The sequence below is a fragment of the Homo sapiens genome, chromosome X (assembly GCF_000001405.40).
Source record: "Homo sapiens chromosome X, GRCh38.p14 Primary Assembly".
Taxonomy (NCBI): Eukaryota; Metazoa; Chordata; class Mammalia; order Primates; family Hominidae; genus Homo; species Homo sapiens.
In genome coordinates, this window is record NC_000023.11 from 47,617,974 (window position 1) to 47,634,122 (window position 16,149).

The following is a 16,149-nucleotide window of genomic DNA, read 5'->3' on the forward strand; positions in this document are numbered from 1 at the left end:
AAATGGGAGTGCAGAAAGTTGATCTATGGGAGCTCGATTCTTCATCCATAGGAGAAAAGGCTTTTGTGAAGAAGGCACACAATCAGGTACACAGCAGGTGCTCCATAAATACTCCAAGGAGTGATTAAAAGAAAAGGTCTTTGGAAAGAGTGACTGGAATGGTACACACAGCAAGTGCCAGATATCTGAGCACTGTATTAACTGGAGGCACAGGCCTTTATGGAGAGGTCTAAGGTTGGGTCATGCAGAAAGTGCTCAATACATGCAGACTGAAGCCACTGGAGGAAAGGGTATTGCAGAAAGGGTTTGAGGGTGGGGTATACAGCAGGCACCAGTCAATGCATGCTTGCTGAATACACTGGAGGAAAGAACTTTTAGAGAAGGCTCACACTGCAGGCAGTTGATAAATGCTAGATGGATCCACCAAAGGAAAGGTCTTTGAAGAAGTAGCTGGAGAACGGGGGATACAAGAGGCACTCAATAAATGTTTTCTAGATCCACTGTAGGGAAAGGTCTTTGAGGAGACGGTCTGAAGATGAGTCACACAAAGAAGGTTCAAAACTGCTCATGGAACTCACTGGAGGAAAATGATTTGTTTGAGAAGGGGTTTGGGGGTGCGGCACGTATCAGGCACTTAACAAATGCTTCCTAGATCCTTTGGAGAAAAGGCCCTCAGAGAGAGGGCTTGGAGTTGGGGCACAGAGAAGGCATCCAATCAAAACTCACAGGATCCATGAAAGGCAAAGCTTTTGGAGAGAAGCTGGGGTGGGATACACAGCAGGTACTCAATGTTTACTAAATAGTTTAAAAGGGCTTTAAGGACGGAGCTGGGGTGGGACACATAGCATAGACTGGACACATGCTCACAAGACCCATTAGAGAAGGCCTCAGGGCAAGGGTTGAGGAGAACAGGACAGTATCAGGCTCTCAAAGAATGCTCACAAACCTCATTGAAATCAAAGGCCTTGGGGAAGGGCTCTTGGATGAGGCATACTGCAGGTACTAGATAAGTGCTCACAAGATCCATTAGAGGACAAGGCCTATGGGGCAAGGGTTGGGGAGGGTAGGAAGGACACGTTCGGTTTTCGAAGGCTCATAGGATATATTGAAGCCAAAGACTTTTGGGGGAGGGGTAGTAGGGAACAGGTACGCAGCAGGTGCCTGATAATTGCTCCCTGGATCCATCAAGGTTTAAGGGGCGGAGGGGGGCGACAAGGGCGGGGCACAGAGGAAGCATCCAGCTTAATAATTTAAAGGAAAAAGATTTAGGTGAGAGGGCCAGGTGTCAGGCACACAAGCGGCGCTCGATAATTGCTCATTCGCAGAAGAACGATCTGGGGACCCAGGCCCACGGGAGACGTCCGCGGCAGTGGCTTACCAGTCGGTGTGCGGCTCGTCGATGACCAGCAGCACCCTGGAGGCGGCTCCCCCGCGGCCTGCGCCCCCAGAGCCGCCGCCCACCTGCTCGCTGAAGGTGGCAGCTGCCGCCGCCGTGGTCTGCTTGACCGCGTTGGACAGCGACGAGAAGAAGCCACCGCCCCCCGAGGACCCGGGGCTAGGGGCGGCCGGAGAGGCCGCTGGGGCGACCCCGGAGGACCTCTCGGCAGTGGCGGTCCCGGGACCGGGCGTGGCTCCGGGGCTGTGGGCACCGGGCGGCGGTGGGGGCGGCTGCGGACGCTGCAGGTCTGTCATGTACCCATTTGGCAGATTGGCCATAAAGTTGCTGTCCGACAGGCGGCGCCGCAGGTAGTTCATGGCTGCGACTTGGGGCAGGGGGTCCTAGGGGTGGTCTGGCCAGGAGCCGCGGGGGCGGACTGCGCGGTGCCCAGGAGCACAGCTGCGCTCTCAGGCACGACACGACTCCTCCGCTGCCCACCGCAGACTGAGGCAGCGCTGAGTCGCCGGCGCCGCAGCGCAGATGGTCGCGCCCGTGCCCCCCTATCTCGCGCCTCGCGTGGTGCGGTCCGGCTGGGCCGGCGGCGGCGCGGACGCGACCAAGGTGGCCGGGAAGGGGAGTTTGCGGGGGACCGGCGAGTGACGTCAGCGCGCCTTCAGTGCTGAGGCGGCGGTGGCGCGCGCCGCCAGGCGGGGGCGAAGGCACTGTCCGCGGTGCTGAAGCTGGCAGTGCGCACGCGCCTCGCCGCATCCTGTTTCCCCTCCCCCTCTCTGATAGGGGATGCGCAATTTGGGGAATGGGGGTTGGGTGCTTGTCCAGTGGGTCGGGGTCGGTCGTCAGGTAGGCACCCCCACCCCGCCTCATCCTGGTCCTAAAACCCACTTGCACTCATACGCAGGGCCCTCTGCAGATACTCGGTTTGTAGTGTTGATATTCAACTCAGAAGGCATTTTTTGGGGGGAGGGGGGCACTGGAAGCACACTCAGAGACACGAAAGTAGAGAAATAACCCCCTCACAGAGGGGGGTGAGGTCACACGCAGTGCCCGCGGGGAGATTAGTCTCCCACATCCACACAGGCTCAGCTAGGCAGAGAGCGGGGGCGTCACAGACAGCATCAGACAAGCGGAGGTGGACACTTGGGTGGTGTACACACCCTTGCCCAAGGTGGCAAGGGGGGCCTGGAGGCACACAAGAAATGACACACATATAAACACACACAAAAGTGAGGAAACATACGAGGGCATGTACAGACAGAACACACGCCAATCTAGGTATACATACAGACATACAAGTCCAGAGTAACACACATGGGCATGTTACATACATGCATGCATACACCCATACCCCCACACACACAGGTAACACACTGACACACAGAGACCCAGGGAAACTCATATGAGCATACACTTGCAGACAAAACACATTCCCACCGATGATCATGGAGAAACCTAGATCTGCAACACAGACATTCTCTGCAGCCCTAGCCCTGGTGCGTGTCCACCCCCACACCAGAACACACTTGGTATATACGCCACCATCCCTTTGCTCTGGACACCGCCAAAACTCACGATAACTACCTGATGTCATCAGTGCCCATGGCTGTCTCCCCCTGCACCCAAGAACTTTCCACAGAGGCAGGCCCATCCCATGGTGCACACACAGTAGGTACCAAATAATGTTTGCATATGAGCAAATGAGGTAGTCCAAGCAGAGGTGGGATATGGGAACCTGTCAAATCTTTATGATTCTGACTACAATAAAAGCACTAATTCATAATCATTTGTTCACTGATTGTACCCAACTCTTAACTAAGCTGTTTACATGCATCATTTCATCCAACCCTCACAACAATCCAGTGGGGTGGATAATATAATGTCTATTTTACAGATGAGGGAATACAAGAACTCCAGTTAATTCCCAAAGGGTCATGTTCACTTTATGATCAACACATTTTTTTAAGAATGTGCCAGGAAGAGGAAACATCCAGTGCCAATGTGGCTGGAACAAGCTGAAGGGGGTTGTGGTAGCAGGGGCCAGATTGGGTAGGACCTTGACCATAGTGAGCAGTGATGGTGGACTAGGAGAGGTGGCAGAAGATAGGCAAGAAGTAAGTAGATATGGAGTCTCTTTTGCCTGCAGAATTTTCAGGTGACTCATCCACTTATTCATTTGTTCATCCTTTATTCATTAAATCATTGGCTGGTTTAAACAAGGCAGTAATAGTGTGGGGTCTGGAGACACAGTGCCTGGGTTCAAGTGGGGCCTCCACCATACACTTGGGAAAGTGACTTAATCTTTCTGAGATTTGGTTTCCTCATCTGTAAAAAGGATACATCTCTAACCCACCTCTAAGGAGAGGGGTAGGAAGGGGGCAACCTCTGTACCTTTGCATGTGTTGTAACTTCTGCCAGGAATGTCCTCTCCTTCTCTCTCGAGGGCTGCCTTTGGCCACTGTCTGCAGGAACCCCTCACCCCCAGGTCTCAGATTCTATCCCCTCCTCCCCTAGGCTTCCACAGTACCCAAGTCAAACACTTCCCAAACCATCCTCTACTCCCTCCTCCAACCCAGCCAGCTTCAGTCCCACCTCCAGGCCTTTGATTTGGCCACTCTTTTCTCCTCCCTTCAGGATTCCTTCTCTGGCATTCCAAATCCTAGTGTTACCCAGATGGGGATCTCCCCGCAAATCAGATATTTTCCAATGTCTTGAAGTATGTGCTCCCTGGTTTTTTGCCCAGTAACGGAAGCAAACAAGCTGTGCAGGGCGCGGTGCCCTCTTTGGGGACAGGAACAGCTGCAGGTCTACAGATCTTTCTGACTCCTTTAGGTCTGAATTCAGGTTCCTCGGGAATCTATCTCCAGGCTGCGCCTCTTCCTGGGGTCCCCATTCCTAGGTTCCTAGTACTTGTGGCCCCAGCACCATTTCATTTTTCCACGTGGCTCAATTTCCAGAAATTAATTTTTTGTAGATTGTTTTGTAGAGGAATGAGGATTCACCTCAGGAGTGCCTCAATTCACTAAGGCAAAGGTTAGGCTCCCCCAAACTGTCTCCATCTTGTTCAGCAGGAATAGGCGTACAAAAGGGGCCCCAATAATGATTTTGCTGTACATTGGTGAGCAACGACTCTCAAACACACACCCCTGACATATGTTCACATTCAGTATTGTACCCATGTTTGTGACTCACACATACATGTCCATGGCACCTTAATGTGTATGTGCACACACGGGACTCCTGCATTGTTATGGCATACATACATTTGTAACCTCACACACATGCCACATATCAATACATCCTTAATTCTTGCACAGGCCCAAAGGTCTGCATCTCTCTCTCACACACACACAGCTGAATTCCCACTTTCTTGTAAACGTATACCTCTCTCATACCCTGTAGTAGCAACCAGAACCCCTCACTTTGGCTCAGTCTTCCCAAGATGACCAAGTAAGTACTCATCAACTTCATCTTCACTTCAACTCATTGACTGGTCCACTTGAATAAGGGGAAAACGAACCAGAGAAGTCAAGTAAGTGTACCAATATACTCTGGGTGTGCATGTCACAAACCTCCTACCCGAACCTTCCCACACAGACGGGTCCCCTCCACCCACAGCACTCTTGACATTTAAGACCTCATCACAATCCATGATGCTTCAAAAATGTCCAGCCTACTACCTTTCTGTGCGTGTTTCCTTTGTAAAATGGGGATAATAATACTTACCCACATGGGTTTGCTGTGGACGAAATGAGTTCATGCTATGGAAAGCCTTAAGACACTACTAAGCACACAGTAAGTACTTTCTAAGTAGTAGCTATTACCATGATTATTATGATTCTTATGATGCGTCTCTTCACAAGGGGCCCGGCATTCAGTAAGTGGTAAATGAATGAGCAAATGCTAAAAGCACTGGTGTCTGGCTTTGTTCCCTTTACTGCGGAGACACGTAACGCTCTGATTCCTCTTCTTCTCTATTCTCCGTGATGTCCAGCACTATTGTTAGTATACAGTAGGCGTTAAGTGTTGAATAGATGTTCACACGAAAGGAATACCTTCTGAGTCTGTTCCCTCACTCAGATGTCCTCTTTCTACCAGCCCTCCTCCACCCTAGATGCTCAGACTCAGCTTTAGCATACAGCAGGCGCTAATAAGTGTTGAATGAATGAACAAATTACCAGAGGAAAGTGTCTGGATTTGTCTTGGGGGCTCCTCCGGGCGGATACTGACTCTAGCTTCTTTGCCCCTCCTCAGCTCAGAGCGCAACACAGGCACTTCCTCGGCCCGCCCCCCGCCTCGCCGAGCTATTTGTCGCTGGTAATTGTGGCATTGGAGCTGGGCTGTCGGGAGTGGGTGGGTGCAGGTGCTCGGGCGGCAGGGTGCCAGCCTCGGCCACGCCTCTGCCGTTCATCCTCGACTGACGCGGAGTCGGAGTCGGCCGGCAGAGGCTCCTCCAGGGTTCCGGCTGGTGGGAATCTAGGGAGGTCCAGGAGACGGGGAGACAACGAACAAGCACGCCGGCCAATCAAGAAGTGCCTGCCAGGACAAGTAGCCAATCAGGAAACCCGTAACGCGGAGCTCTGCAGAGGAACGTGCCGGGCGGCCCTGAGGCTCTAAGGGGGCTGCGCAGGGCCCAGACATTGGGGTTATGGCAGCGGCGGGGAGAGGCTGGGACTGCACACTCGCTTTCACTCCTGCCAACCTGCGACCACAGTGGAAAATACTGTTTTCCGCAACAGGCTGCTGTGTCTTGGCCCGTGCTGTGCTGTTTGCCCTATGAGATGCTATCACCCTACTTTTGGGGAAGGGGATAGGTTGTTTTTCCTCCTTTAAGGAATCGTAGACGAACTCGAAGAGGCTAGTTTATTGAGGTTTGGAAGGTCAGGGGGCTCAGAGTGGAGGAGAGAAGTGTTAGAGTTCCTCTTCCTCAGGGTCTTTGCAAGCAGGCACGTGTAGACATGGTCGTTTCTCCTCCACCACCAGCTTCTGCCCTTGTAGCTCCTCACACCGTGGCAGCGGTCTCCCCCAGAAGGTCACGTTCTTCTCGCCCTGACCTTCGACCATGGAAACGGTGGGCCTGAGGCATTAGGGGTGGGGAGGAACGGAAGGGAGAATCTCAGGGAAGGCAAGAATGCATTCAATTCTTATTGAGTGCCTGCTATATGCCGAGGGCTACTTTTTTTTTTTTTTTTTTTCCTTTTTTTTTTTTGAGGCAGGGTCTCACTCTGTTGCCCAGGCTGCAGTGCAGTGGCACAATCATAGCTCACTGCAGCCTCAATCTCCTGGGCTCAAGTGATGCTCCTGCCTCAGCCTCCCAAAGTGTTGCTGGGATTACAGGCGTGAGCCACTGTGCCTGGCCTCCCAACACTACTTTTTAGCTATAGGATATTGGGCAATTTCTTTAGCTTCTCTGTGCCTCGGTTTCCCTCATCTGCAAAATGAGAATGGTAGGAATAGTAATATTAATACTCACCTCACGGGGTTGAATGAGGATAAATGAGTTAATTCAGGTAAAGTGCTCAGAGCAGTGCCTGGCACACAGCAAGTGCTCAATAAATGCTGGTGAATGTTACTTGTTGGCATGAGCTACTTTCTTTTACCTCCGAAATATATACCCTTTATATCTCTTTCCACTGCCTCCAGGAAAAAACCCAATGCCTTGTCCTGACATTCAAGGCCTTATTGTTGGGCCCAAATCCCTGCCCCAAGCCAATCTCTCTCTCTGTCTCCTCCACTTTATTCAAGCTCAGTCCCTGTCCAGAAAGGTCTTTACCTGGGTTATTTGTCCCACTAGGAAAGCCCTCCATTCACTCCCATCCCAGTTCTCTCAATTGCTTCTTCCTCCACTCAGTCTCTCGCTCACTCAAGTCCTTTGTGCCTCCATTCAACACCTCTAATCTTCAGGCCCCACTCTAACCCCCTCAGCCGGGAGATCCCTTCCCAGATGGCAGCCCTTCCACGAGCTGGGAATAGTTCACTTAATCTAGTAGCTTGATGTATGTGGAAGGAAGAAAAGGGATGAACATTTTAACCCTCTCTAACACCTGGGCCCCTCTGGCACCTGGAAACACTTATAGCGGCTAATCACCTAGCTCCAAGGCTCCGTTCACAGTCTTGATGCCAGGAATGCCTTTCCCAACCCCTACCTGCCCTGGGAGGCCCAGTCAGCTTCCTGGACCTAGGTTGAGGTGGCAGCACCTGTTGCATGCACCAGCTGTTCCTCATATGCCTCCTGTCAGGGGCTTGCTCAGCTGGGTCCCTTGGAGGATCCACAGGATCTGGGCTGTGTGTATCTGCAACTGTTGCTGAAAAAGCCTTGGAGTGCCTTGGCTCAGTGAGATGCTGACAAAGTGGATGGAGGCATGAGTGACTGTGGGAGGCAGGCAGTGAATGGAGGCCTGAGTGATGGCAGCTAAAAGCATGGGTAACTGAAGGTCGGAGTCAATGACACATGAAGGACTAAGTGGATGAGTGACTGAACAGGTGACTGAGGGGCACAGAGGCTACGAATTATCCTCCAAGAACTTCTTTCTCATCTTCTTAGTTTCTCCCCACTTCCTGCAGCTGGGAGGTGGCACTCGGCAAGGCAGATACCTTAGATTCAGCAGTGGAAACCCTGGTTTCCTGGGGTAGCCGACTCTCCCGCCTGTAATATAATGACCCCCTCCCAGGCATACTTTGCCCTCTCACTCACGGGTACTTGGGGAGCAAGGGTGTGCAGAGGCGCTGGCGGGCACGGGTAGGATTAGGTCCACAGGGGGGCATGCACAGCCCCCAGGTACTCCACTCTGACCATGATCCTTTCACTGCAATGAGGGGTAGGGGTCACAGAGTCAGAACTGGAGGTCTTGGTGGGAAAGTGAGAGGGAGGCTGCAGAGACGTGAGGTCCACAGCAGAGAGTTGGAAACCCCTTATCCTGCATGGGCCACCCCACCCTCAGAGCACAGTCTGTGGGACACTCACAGGGGCAGTGCTGGATGCTGTAGCAGTGCCGGATATCCTGCTGTTGCCCGGCACATCGATGTCCGTCAAACTTGCGGCCCCTGCAGGTCCTCCCGCGTGACTGCTGGCCCGGGATTTCTTGACAGCTGATGGACTTCATGTTCCGTCGGATACAGGGGCTCCACTCCCCCCACGAGTCCCACTCCCCATCCACTGCAGAGACAGGGCAACAGGGGATTGGACCAAAGCAGGGAATCAGCAAGGGGGTTCAGAGGAAGGAATGAGGGCGGTAGGAGGGAGTAGAGGTGATCAGATGTGTGAATGGGGGACCAGGGGTGGAAACAAGGTATCAGGGCCAGGAAAGGAGGAATCAGAGACAGGAACAAGGCCTCAGCAGCAGGAGCTGGGCAGCAGAGAAGGGCAAGGGGGACTTAGGCATGCAAATCGTGAACCCTGAGATGCTGACCAGGGCAGGGCACAGCTGTGTTGCAGATGTGGGTCCGGGTGGCATCGCCAGCACAGAAGGGGCCCCCATGCTGGGGCACAGGGTGATTGCACGTCCGTTGTTCCATGGTCTGGCCCAGGCCACAGGTCACAGGGCAGGGGCTCACAGGGCCCCAAGGCCCCCAGCCCCCAGCCACTGTTGGAGGAGGAAAGGGAGTGAGGAGAAAGGCCTCCTCAATCCTTCCTCTCAGCCCCTAGACCCTTGAAGCAGACTGTCCCCAAATGAAGGGCTGCATGGTCACATGGCCTAGGAACTCTAGAAATGGCAGAGCATCTCTGCCCTCAATCAAGAGCCCCACCAGCAACATCAGCAGCCTCATCCTGGTGTACCTGGGCAGGGTGGCAGGCCGGTGCACCTCCGCTGCTCGTAGGCTAGCCCCGGGCAGGGCTTCCCAGGAGGTTTCTGGGAGGGCTCAGGTGCAGAACACTTGCGGCTTCGTGTCTCCTTAGGTTCGTGGGGTCCACCGTGGCAGGAGGCTGAGCAGGGGGTCCAGGGGCCCCAGGTGGCCCAGGCCCCGTGTGCTGTGGTGGGGTGGGAGGTGGAGGGATGCAGGTGTGGTCATGCATGCTAAAGTCCTCTCAGCCTGGCAGTTCCCTGCTGTAACCCCGCAGACCCACGCTGGGTGCACCCATCAGCATCCTGTGGCTTCCCTCACTCACTGGGGCAGACCTGCTGGGTGTCACAGGCCTCTGATTCCTGTGCCTGTCCTGGGCAGTGGCCCCCACACTTGGGAGCAGGGTGATTACAGGCTCGCCTGCGGGTCCGGGTCCCTTTGGAGCAGGTGACAGAGCAAGGCTCCCAGGGCCCCCAGCCAGACCAGCCGCCCATCTCTGTGGGAGAGAAGAGAGGGTAATGGGATGGAGGTGGGGTGTCATTCAGGGCTCTTTGCTTCCTTGAGTGCCCCACATGAGCTAATCCTGTCCTTATATCCTCTGCCACCATTCTGGGCCCACCATCCCCGCTCACCGGGCCTGCCGCAGCAACCTTCACATGGGTGCCTCCGCTTCCCCTCTCACCCTCACCGTGCACAGTCTGTTCTCCTCCCAACCCCAGTCAGATCACGTTCCTCCTCTGCCCACAGTCCAAATTACTCAGATGAAAAGCCAACGTCCTCTCTGTGGCCCCCAGGCAATGGACCCTCCTCACCTCTCTGACCTCACCTCCCACCACTCTCCTCCTTAGGTCCTTACAAACACTGGGGACGGGCCCACTCTGAGGACCTCTGTACCGATCGTTCCCACCAGTGCTGGGTGACAGGGAGTGCTTGCCCGCCTTGCTCATCCTCCTCACCAGGACAGCACTGCTGGTCCTCACAGGCCTGGAGCTGCCACTCCAGGGTCCCAGGTGCCACCTTTCCAGAGCACTGCCCATTCCAGCCCACACAGCGCCGGTACCGCAGCTGGGAGCCCTCAGAGCACGTCACCGAACAGGGGGCCCATGTGGACCACAGGGACCATCGTGGGGACCTGTGGAGAAGAGCACACACATCCCATCCTGGCATGAGCTAACAAGAATGGCATGTGGGACTCCAGAGTGTGGGCAGACACGAAGGGTTGCTAGGCAAGTGCGTGTGCGATGGATTGATAAGTCCTTACCTTTTAGGGATATTGGGATACTGATGGGAAGCAGTGGATATACAATAAGTGCTTGATAATGTCATTTACCTTCACAATCAGGCATCTGGAGTTACCATTGGAAGGCTGCATGGCCAACACCAGGTCCGCAGTAAGCAAAGGTAAGGACTAGAAACCAAGGGCTGCTGTCAGAAACCCACCAGATCACCACACTACACGGTAGTAGGTAAATAGAAAGTGCTTAATAAACCTGAGCCATCATCCCTATGACCTCAGAGGCCTCCTCAGAAATAACCCCAGATCTATCCCCAACCCACTGCATAGCCCTAGGTATGCTGTTCATGCCAAATAGATGTGATGAACTGTTGACATGACTTGGGGCCCAGAGCTGCCCTCAAAAATCCCCAAGCTCCCCATGCCCACGGTGTATCTGGGATATATAGTAAACAAGTAGAAAACAGGTCTGGCATACGGTAAGGGCTCAATCCATGCAAGCTGGAAATCATGATCAGGAGACTAGAGCTACCCTCAGAAATCCTCAAGCTCATCTCCCAACCCTGCCATGCAGCTGGTATACAGGGAGTGCTCAATGAATGTGAAGTGTCATCATAATTAGGGGCCTAGAGCTGCCCTTTGAATTCCCCAAACTTTCCCGCCCCCACAGTGTGTCCATATACAGTAAGCACTCAATAAACATGAGCTGTCATCAAAATTAGGGAAATACCAAGCTGCACCCCACCTGCAATGCTTCCAGTGTGCAGGAGGTGCTCAATATGTGTGAGCTATGTCAGTGGTTCTCAATCAGGGGTGATTTTGACCCCCAGGGGACATTTGGCAATGTCTGCTGACATGTTTGGTTGTCACAGCTGGTGGGGAGAATTGCTACTGGCATCTAGTGGAAGGCTAGGGGTGTTACAAAACATCCCACAATACACAGGTAAGCAATCCCCTCCCCCAGCCAAGAATTTCCAGCCCCAAATGTCAATAGTAACAAGGTTGAGAAACCCTGAGGTATGGTCACGATCAGGGCCTCAGGGCCACCCTTGGAAGTCCCAGAGAAAGAAAGTGCCCAGTTTTGGGTGACCCCCACAGACAGTCCTTCCCTCCCCCCCATCCCCCACCCCAGGCTCCCCCTAACCTGCAAGGCTGACAGAGCCCACCACTACGTTTCTGGTAGGCAAAGGCAGTGTTGAGACAGCAGTCTTCCACGCTGACACCACCCCCCAGGAGGCCCTTGCACTTGCCGGAGGATTCTTCATACTGGGTGAAGCAGAGCACGGGGTCTGAGCCTGTAACAGGGCCAGGGGATGGGTGGGTGGGGCTCGGTCAGGGATGTGGTGGGCCTGGACACCCCTGGGGCCAGCTGGGCCCTCACCCCCTCACCTGTGGCTGGCAGGGTGAGCAGCAGGAGCAGCGGCGGCAGCAACAATCGAGGGGCCTGCGCTCCCTCTGTGATCATGTTGAGTACTGCCCCCTGCACCTCTACCAGAGAGGAGGTCCCGCTTTATCTGGGTTGATAGGCTCCTGGAATCAGCAGGGAAAGAGGAACCTAGAGGCAGGAGGAACTGGGAGGGCATCCTGCTTTGACCCCACCCTGTCCCCTCTGCCTCCTTCTCTACTCTCCCCTCCCCATTTCCTGTCTTACTCTTGGTCTTGTTCTGTTTGTTACTATATCCCCAGCACCTCGCGCTCCTCCCAGCAACCTCACAGTGTTCAATAGAAGCTCCTAGGACAAATTCTCACCCAGAGGAAATGGAGCATAGGAGCGTGCAGCAACTTCCTAGCCGTGTGACCTTGGGTGAGTCACTTAACACCCCTGAGCCTCAGTTTCCCTATGTGGAAAATGCATAATCTCTAACATAATGACGGGGTCAACCTCGTGGGGGTGTTGAACCAGGGTGAAGTGAGTGTGCGGTGCTCAGTATGTTCCTGCTCGTGGGGGTGGAGGGAGCATCGAGTCAGTTGCTCCACCTTCCACCCTCCCTTAACCTCGGCCCTCCTTTCCTGAGAGGTTCCCTGTGGTCAGCTTGTGGTCGGGGAGGTCAGCACAAGGGAAGTGAGAAAGGGAAGTGGCAGGAGCCTGGGGAGGGATTCAGGAGGGGAATGGGGTCTATCCATTGTTCCATGGGCCCAGCTGGGGACAACACCAGGGTCTGGGGTGATTAGGAGGGAATAAGCTGGGCCATATTCCATCAGAGAACCCTCAGGCAGATAACACCCCCCTTCTGGAGCCTGTTTCCCCTCTGTAAAATGTGCTCACAGACAGCACCTACAACATAGGTAGGGTGTGTTGCAAAGATTGCGAGTTAAGCTTTTGTTTGTTTTGTCGAGATGGAGTCTCACTCCGTCGCCCAGGCTGGCGTGCAGTGTCACGATCTCGGCTCACTGCAACCTCTGCCTCCCGATTTCAACCAATTCTCCTGCCTCAGCCTCCTGAGTAGCTGGGATTACAGCCGTGTACCACCATGTCCAGCTAATTTTTGTATTTTTAGTGGAGACAGGGTTTCACCATGTTGGCCAGGCTGGTCTCGAACTCCTGACCTCAGGTTATCCACCTGCCTTGGCCTCCCAAAGTGCTAGGATTACAGGCGTGAGTCACCGTGCCCGGCCAGGAGTTAAGCTTTTGGAAAGTCTTTAGAACAGTGCCTGGCATATAGTAGGTGCTCTGTGTTTGATAAATTTATTCAACATTTATTGAGCACCTACTGGATGCCAGATGCGGTTCTTAGCATTAGAGCAGAGAATAGGACAGACAAAAATCCTGGCCCTCGAGAAGATGGATAACAAATGTTGCCCCTCCTCACAGAGGCCTTCCCCATACCCTTGTCTGGCATCCCTGTCACTCTCTAGCCCAGTAGCTTCCAAACCTGTTTTTTTGTTTGTTTTGTTTTAAAGAGACAGAGTCTTGCTGTCACCTGGGCTGGAGTGCAGTGGTCTGATCATAGCTCATTGCAGCCTCAAACTCCTGGGCTCAAGTGATTTTCCCACCTTAGCGTCCCCAAGTAGCTGGGACTACAGGCACACACCACCACACAACTAATGTTTTTATTTTCTGTATAGATGGGGTCTCGTTGTGTTGCCCAGGCTGGTCTCAAACTCCTGGCTTCAATATTTTCTCCCAACCTCAGCCTCCCAAAGTGCTGGGATTACAGGCATGAGCCATCACACCAGCCCTTCTTTTTTTTTTATTTTTTTATTTTTTTTTTATAAACCCTAATGAAACTCCAGGGCCCACTTTAAAATTTTTATTTTGCTTTTAATTAACAAAAAGAAGCACAAGAAAGATAGGAAGGCAATGCCTAATTTCCTCTGCTCTCAGGGAGGCAGAGGAATTCTGCAAATTCAAATGTAATAATTTGGTCAGCTGTTAAAACAGAAGTTCTTCAGGAACACTTGTTTTATGGGCAGTAAAGTATGTGTTAATATCTGTATCCATTACAGACATACTCTGTTCTCTGATAACATAAGGCTATCCTTGAAAATGTGCTTTGAACAAAGGAGTCTTATTAAGATTCTACGACTTCAAGACAATCATTGCTGTGTTATCCTGTGAAAACACTCTCCAAGAGACCTGAAACTGGCCAGGCATGGTGGCTCACGCCTGTAATCCCAACACTTTGGGAGATTGAGGCAGGTGGATCACCTGACGTCAGGAGTTCGAGACCAGCCTGGTCAACATGGTGAAACGCCGTCTCTACTAAAAATACAAAAATTAGCCAGGCGTGGTGGCGGATGCCTGTAATCCCAGCTACTTGGGAGGCTGAGGCAGGAGAATCGCTTGAACTCGGGAGGCAGAGGCTCTAGTGAGCTGAGATCGTGCCACTGCACTCCAGCCTGGGCGACAGAGTGAGACTCTGTCCCAAAAAAAAAAAAAAAAAAAAAGAAAGAAACCTGAAATTCTGGCTGGCTTCTTTATTTAACCACCTGTTGCCCTGGTAATAATATTAACAATATTTCCTTTGTTTCTAAACTGTATAAATACTCATAGGATTCCCTGTGGAAGAGGACTGTCAGCACTCTATCTTTTCCCACACGTTTAGGCAATAAAATGACTGCAGATTCCTTAAACAAAGAGTGAGAGTCTTGTCTTATTTAATTATTACATCCCTACCTGCTACTATGTATTTGCCTGCTTCTTGTTATTCTCACTCCCTAAATATCAGTTCCACAAGGGCAGGGATTTTTGTCTGGCTTGTTAACTGCTGGGTCTGCAGGGCATTAGATAGGCACCAGGAAACAGTGGATGCTCAATAAACATCTGCTAAATGAATCAATCAATGAAATAAACAAAACTTTAGAGATTACGATAAAATGCCAGAAGGACAGTCTGAGTTAGAGGTAAAAATGTGGGCATCCCATGGAGGATAAGTAGTATTTCAAGTGTGAAGACCTGGATAAGATGACCTAGAGAGGATGCGTGAGAAGAGAGAAGGGAATCCCAGGGCTTTGCCCTGGGGAACCCCAGCATTTCAAGTTTTAGAGAAGTAGGAGAAGCCAGCCCAGCGGACTGAGCAGGAGGGGCCTGTGGAGGAACAGGAAAAACAGAAGAGGGTTTTTCTCCAGGGCCTGGAACATTCGAGGGTCTGCAGGGCATTAGACCTCTCACACAGTCTCATTTGGTCTGTTATTTTCTCTCTCTCTCTTTTTTTTTTTAAACCTATCTACACAGTTATGTTTTTCTTTTCTTTCTTTTCTTTTCGAGACAGGGTCTGGTTCTGTTACCCAGGCTGGAGTGCAGTGGCGTGATCGCAGACTACAGCCTCAACCTCCTGGGCTCAAACCATCCTCCCACCTCAGCCTCCCGAGTAACTGGGACTACAGGCACACGCCACACCTGGCTAATTTTTTAAACTATTTGGAGAGACAGGGTTTTGCCACATTGCCCAGGCTGGTCTCAAACTCAAACTCCTGGGCTGAAGCGATCCTCCCAACTCAGTGTCCTCAGTAGCTGGGACTACAGGCATGCACCACTATACCTGGGTAATTTTGTTTTTTGTTTTGGTAGCGGCAGGGTCCTTCTATGTTGCCCAGGTTGGTCTCAAACTCAAAATCCTGGCCTCAAGTAGTCCTCCCACATCAGCCTCCCATGTAGCTGGGATTACAGGTGCACAACACTACGTTATGCTAATTTTTTAAATTTTTAGTAGTGACGGGGTCTCACCATGTGGCCCAGGCTGGTCTCAAGCTCCTGGCCTCAAGTGATCCTCCCACCTTGGCCTCCCAAAGTGCTGGGATTACAAGCATGAGCCACCGCACCCAGTCCGGATTTACAGCCTCTACTATATTCTCTTAATCACACAGCCTCTCAGACATTCTGTCACTCATAGTCATTTTCTGTGTCATGGATTCCAGCCTTACTACAGTCTCCTAACAGTTTCACACACACAATCATGTTTAACAGCCTGTCTCATTCAGTCAATATTGCCAATAGTTTCTCTCACCAGTCAGTTCCTTACATACACGTGCAGTCACACAATCTCATGAAACGTTTAGGCACTCATTTGGCCTGTTACTTTCTCACATACACAAATAGTCACTGATTTATAGTCACCACTAACTAGTCTCTCATGAAGTTTCCCACACATGCACAAAAATCACCTCTCCTACCCCTTTCTCACTCAAGCCACTTTTTCACACACCCACGATCCCTGATTACAGCCTCTCCCACAAAGACATTCACACGCATACACAATCACACAGTATCTCAGACACTGTCGTCACCTAGTCTCACGTTTCT

At 52.2% G+C, this 16,149-nt stretch overlaps 2 protein-coding genes across 4 annotated transcripts in view, besides 2 other annotated features; both read right to left on the minus strand.

The window, feature by feature from the left end:
- SYN1 (synapsin I) overlaps positions 1-1,884 on the minus strand; it is a 47,957-nt gene extending 46,073 nt beyond the window's left edge. For both annotated transcript variants that reach the window (NM_133499.2, NM_006950.3), the window contains exon 1: positions 1,379-1,884. In NM_133499.2, coding sequence (NP_598006.1) covers positions 1,379-1,755 — 377 coding nt within the window. In that variant the 5' untranslated portion in view covers positions 1,756-1,884. The remainder of the gene's footprint in view (positions 1-1,378) is intronic.
- Positions 1,897-2,191: a silencer, noted in NCBI's record as "tiled region #11481; HepG2 Repressive DNase matched - State 12:CtcfO". NCBI's record gives its function as "represses a minimal TATA promoter and a strong SV40 promoter by Sharpr-MPRA in HepG2 cells {active_cell/tissue: HepG2}" and the evidence as "EXISTENCE:reporter gene assay evidence [ECO:0000049][PMID:27701403]".
- Positions 1,898-2,107: a silencer, noted in NCBI's record as "silent region_20810". NCBI's record gives its function as "represses an Ori minimal core promoter by ATAC-STARR-seq in GM12878 lymphoblastoid cells {active_cell/tissue: GM12878}" and the evidence as "EXISTENCE:reporter gene assay evidence [ECO:0000049][PMID:35858748]".
- Positions 5,309-12,332, minus strand: CFP (complement factor properdin). 2 transcript variants are annotated; one of them, NM_002621.2, is made up of 10 exons: positions 12,156-12,332; positions 11,796-11,936; positions 11,551-11,701; positions 10,129-10,304; positions 9,498-9,668; positions 9,168-9,359; positions 8,800-8,973; positions 8,355-8,546; positions 8,085-8,196; positions 6,240-6,467 (listed from the first exon to the last, which is right to left on the minus strand). In NM_002621.2, the coding sequence occupies exons 2-10, from the start codon at positions 11,869-11,871 to the stop codon at positions 6,302-6,304; spliced, it is 1,410 nt and encodes a 469-aa protein (NP_002612.1). In that variant the 5' UTR covers positions 11,872-11,936; positions 12,156-12,332; the 3' UTR covers positions 6,240-6,301. The 2 variants fall into 2 exon arrangements, with proteins under 2 accessions (NP_001138724.1, NP_002612.1); NM_001145252.3 differs by lacking the exon at positions 12,156-12,332 and having other exon boundaries at positions 5,309-6,467; positions 11,796-11,957.